At 37.6% G+C, this 5,225-nt stretch overlaps 1 pseudogene; it reads left to right on the top strand.

Moving 5' to 3' along the window:
- Positions 2,990-5,225, top strand: RRN3P4 (RRN3 pseudogene 4; annotated as a pseudogene).

Here is a 5,225-nt window from a genome sequence, read left to right on the forward strand (position 1 = left end):
CAGGACACAGATGGGCTGAAAGAAAGAAGAAGCTATCCAAGGAGAGCAAACACAGACAGGACATAAGGAGTGTGACAGCATGGCATCTGTGTCTGTGCTGGGAGAGTCTGCATGCGGTGGAAGAAATGGGAGGAGAGGTATTTTGCATAGTTAAAAGGTTAGTCTGATTGAAATAGATAGTTCATGTTGTTAACTAATAAGGGATAATTTAAAACTGTACAGTTCACTGAAATTATTGAATGCTATAATTTGGGTTTATTTTTGTATCACATTTGACATCTCAGCACAGTAGCACAGGTAGCACACTGAGGAAGAATTAATTGAGAGCATTCTGCAGAGGTGAGGCTTTCATGCTTTTTCCTCCTCTGCATACCAGAATAGGAACTTAATGGAAAGTCTGCATCTGGACAGACCAGGGCTCTGTATATAGCAAAATCTTGAGGCCATTTTTGAAGGGATTGTATAAAGAGAAGGAGTATGTAAAAAGTAGTGGAACCCATATCTGTAATGAGACTTCAGTACATTAAATGCTTATACACAATGAACTATAACATCTCTGCAGTGAGTTTTTGTTATAACCTTGGTTCCTCCCATTGAAGCACTAGTGGAAACCATTGGCCAGAGTTTTTCTGATGATCTGATTGGGTTTGTTGCCTGTGCCTTGCCCTCTTGCTTCATGATCCATGTTGATCCTCAGATAGTTCTTAATAATTCTCTAGTTAATTCCTTTAATAGCGTTTGATGTTTTATTTCTGCTGTTCATTCCAGCTTGAGTGGCTTGTTAGTGTGGTCTCGTCTTCTGAGCAATAGATTTTTGAAATGACAGACAGAGGATTTTAAACTTCCTTTAGAGGAACTTATGAATATAATCAATGTTAAGTGAAAAGGGCCAATAGGCCACTTACACATGTGGATTGTCTACCTGTGAATTGTCTCAATCTTAGAAACTTAGATAAGCATTGTGTTATAAGCAGATAAATGCTCAGAGCATAATACTTAATAACTTACTTCCAAAATTTGGTGGATTTCTTTGCAAATATTTATGAGTATACAATTTCACTCCATGCCTGGACCTAATATTCAATATGAGATCCTTGAGAGTCCATTTTCAATGCTGATCAAAGCCTTTGTGTTCTCATACCCACCATATGATGTAGCTATAAAGATGGATAGCAGCAGAAAAACTAGTGGGCTCCTGTGCAGTGAGTCAAATGGGAATGACAAACAGCATGACAAATAGAAGAAACAATCAGTCAATCAACATTCATATACCGTGCCCCTACTAGAGTCCCTGCTAGGAATCAAAGAAAGAAATGACATAGATCTTGGTTAAAAAGATCGATTTGGAGGTCCAACATTTATTCGAATATTTTCAAATATTCATTTCCATATTCCAAAATTTCAATATTTATTAAATAATTAAAATGTTAAGGGCAAATAATGATATTAAAGGGAGTTAAATATTAATGTTATGTGGAATCATCAGGACTAAAATGTTTTAAAAAATCTTCTTTGTTTTCAGTAAGACTTTGTAGCAGGATTTAAGACTGGAAGTTTCAGAAATAAATATGAAAGCTATTGTAAGAATTGGGGAACCAATGTAACAAAAAACGTTGAAAAAAGACTGAATGTGGTGTATTATGGAAATATGGAAATAGTGAGATTTCACTTAAGAGAAACCTTCATCAAAACACAGCCTAAAGTAACAGAAGACCATCTGTTCAGCAATAGTAAATGTAGAGATTCACTTAGCATAAGCAAAGAGGCAACAATTCAAGAGACAAAAAACAATAGGTGTATAAAATTGAAAGAGCTGGCTAGGTATGGTGGCTCATGCCTGCAATCCCAGCACTTTGGGAGGCTGAGGTGAAAATATTGCTTGAGCCCAGGAATTTGGGACCAGCCTGGGCAACATAGGGAGACTCTGTCTCTACAAAAAAAAACACATAAAAATAAACCAGACATGGTGGCACATGCCTGTGGTCCCAGCTACTCAGTGGGAGGCTGAGGTGAGAGGATTGCTCAAGTCCTGGAGGCTGAAGCTGAGTGAGCCTTGATGGAACCAGTGCATTCCAGGCTTGACAACATAGTGTCTCCAAAAAATACATAAATAAAATTAAAAGAGCTTTAAAATCCTGTTTCTTACTGGTAGTCCATTGACATTTTGCACACAATAGGTGTTCAAATGATACTACAGAATTATTGGCTGGGCAGAATAAAATATGTCACTTTAAAAGTCAAATTGAGACTTTTTTCCTCCAAATATGTTTTGACTTTGGAGATTTAGAAGGATCAATTTCTATCAGTGGTAGAGGGCTATACTCTGAATATCGAGTTTAAGATCCATCATTTGCTTGAGCTACATTATAATAGTTTAATTTTTAAAACAACACTGCTGAAATAGTTTTTGGAGCTAGATAATAGATTGTAATACAGACTAGAAGGAATTGCAGTACATTTCTTCAGGGCAGAAAGCAGGTGCAGTTATATCTCTGCATGTGCATCCGATGCTTATGTATTTTAAATGTAAATTGTTTCTTTTAAGAGAAAATATTATATTGAACATTGATGCAAAGGCATTATGTGTTTGTGTTTTATTTTCCTGAGATATAAAACTCATTCTTCACCTATAATGAGACTTCGATGAAATATTCCAAAGTGTTTGTAACAAATCTGGCATTTAAGGAAGCAGATTTATATAAGCTATAGCTGGGATTTTTTTCTTTATCTATTTCCAGTTTCTTTATAATATTTTATGCAGGCTTTTGATTTTATCTATAGGTGCATTTAAGTATGTTTTGAATAGTGGGGGAAAATTAAAACTTGAAATTTAACAAAGAACTTAAAGTGAGTTACCATAACAAAGCATTCTTAAATAATGAATTTTAGAAGTCGGATAAAATTCTTCCTAAAAGGATTCATTATATAAAGCAAATAGCTGAACAATGTCAGGTTGTAACATAGTAATCAAGAGAAAGAGCTTCCAGGCGAGGTGCAGCTATCACTTTAAGCCCCGGGGCAACCAGGCTGCTTCTCACATGGTTGCCGGGGAAGCAGAGGCTTCAGCTTCTGTGGTCAAGAAGCTGGGTATGTCATGGACCAGTATTTCAGATATGCTTGCATTCAAGAATGATTTTTCCAGCTCTCCCCCAAGAAAAATTGTTCATCTTGATGGAACGGGGACAGAAGTCTTGCCGAAGGACAAAGAGTGAAACAAATTTAACTTTGAGCTGTTGAAGAGCCAGTTGTGAGATTCAAACATAAAGGATGACCAGATCTTGAACTGGCTGTGAAAATTTTGCTCTTCTATCATGTACTTGGCAAAAGACTTTGAGCAGCTCCTCAGTATTACATTGAGATTGCCTTGGTTGAATAGAATTCAAACAGTGGTGGAAGAGTATTTGGCTTCTCTGGGTAGTCTTGTAACAACAGACTCTTCCTTAGCCCAAGTCTCAGCATAATTGCTTCCCATTTGGCGTACCCTCCTTGAATGATCATTAAGAAGAGCCATGTAAATGTTTCAGATTCTGATGATGGAGATGATTATCTTCCTGCAGATTTTGACACACGTCATACAACCTTACAAATAACAGCAAGATATGTCCCACTGGCACTGTGGTTTCTTTTGCCCATACTGGTGGAAACATTTCCATTTGTTCAATCAGAGAGAACACTGGAATGTTACATTCATAACTTACTAAAGATTAGTATATACTTTCCAACCTTGAGGAATGAAATTCTGAAGCTTATTATTAAAAATCTATTCAAATTGGATGTGAATACATTCTGGCATGATATTGAAGATGCTGAGGAAACAGCAGCTCAAACTTGTGGTGGGACAGATTCCATGGAATGATTGTTCAATATGAACGAAGATGAAGAGACTGTTTCTAAGGCTGACTCCAAATGGCTCGGTCAGATGGTGCACCCTGTAGCTGAATGCCTGGACACCCTGCTGTCTTTGCTTTTGCAGTACTTGAAGTATGTCTGCTATGTAAAATACATGGTAAGGTTGATAACAACAAAATAAAGGATTTATAATATATCACAAACTGATAAACATATTTGACAAACCCCTGCCTCCTGTCACGTACAGTTTTTTATGTTTTACCTCTGTGGCTTAAAATTGCGACTCTCAGAAGCATTTTTGGAACGTCTCTGGGAAAAAAAAATGCAGGATCCAAATAATCCTGTCATCATCAGGTGAGCTGCTGGAAATTATATTGGAAGCTCTTTGGCAAAAGCTAAATTCATTCCTCTCATTACAACTATAAAATCATGCCTAGGTCTTTCGGTTAACTGGCCACACAAATACCTTACTAACCAGGATCTGAGAATGAAGGCTTTTTGTGATATTGCTCTCCATCAAACATTTTACTCAGCCTTCCAAGCTGTGTTCCACACCTTTGTTTTTAGACACAAGCAACTTTTAAGCGTAAACCTGAAAGAAGGTTTGAGATGTCTTCAGTGCCTACATTTTTAAGGGATAGTGACTAGGCAGCTAAATCCTCTGAATATTTGCCTGCCCTCAGTGGTTAACTTATTTGCTGCTGTCACGAATAAATATCAGCTAGTCTGCTACACTATCATTGAGAGGAACAACGGCCAGAAATACAGCTGGAGGAGACTCGGTGTGAACGTGCACCAACCCATTGGACGCCTTCTTCCCCTTTGATCCTTGTGCGCTTAAGCAGTCAAGGAAAGTCATTGATTCTATTTATCAGATATGGGAAGACATAAGTGTCGAAGAGCTTCAGGAGTTTAAGAAACCTATGAAAAAGGAGATGGAAAAAGATGGAGATGATCTTTTGAAAGGTGAAGTTCCCCCAAATGATACCATGATCGGGATTATACCGAGCCACTTTGATGCGATGCACATTTCCAAAGTCCTTCAAGTAGTGTGGGCTCCCCACCTGTGTTACACCTGCCAGACCAGTTCCTTCTCATCTCGAGGATTTGTGATTGAGATGCAGCATTCTTCCCCATCACTCATCATGTTCTTTAGCAACTGTTTATGCTGTTTGGGCACTGCATTGAACTAGAATGAGCACCTGACTCAGGCATCATACTTTCAAGTTAGACTTCAGCATCTGAACAGACTTTTTTTTTTTTTTGCTTTTTTGTTCCCCTTAGAGACAAAATTAGAAGACTGAATATCATGTGTAATATTTTATGGTGGGGTTGATGATAAATGATAAATACTTTGCTCGTTTGTTTAAGAAGTA

This window comes from Homo sapiens, chromosome 2, assembly GCF_000001405.40.
Source record: "Homo sapiens chromosome 2, GRCh38.p14 Primary Assembly".
NCBI lineage: Eukaryota > Metazoa > Chordata > Mammalia > Primates > Hominidae > Homo > Homo sapiens.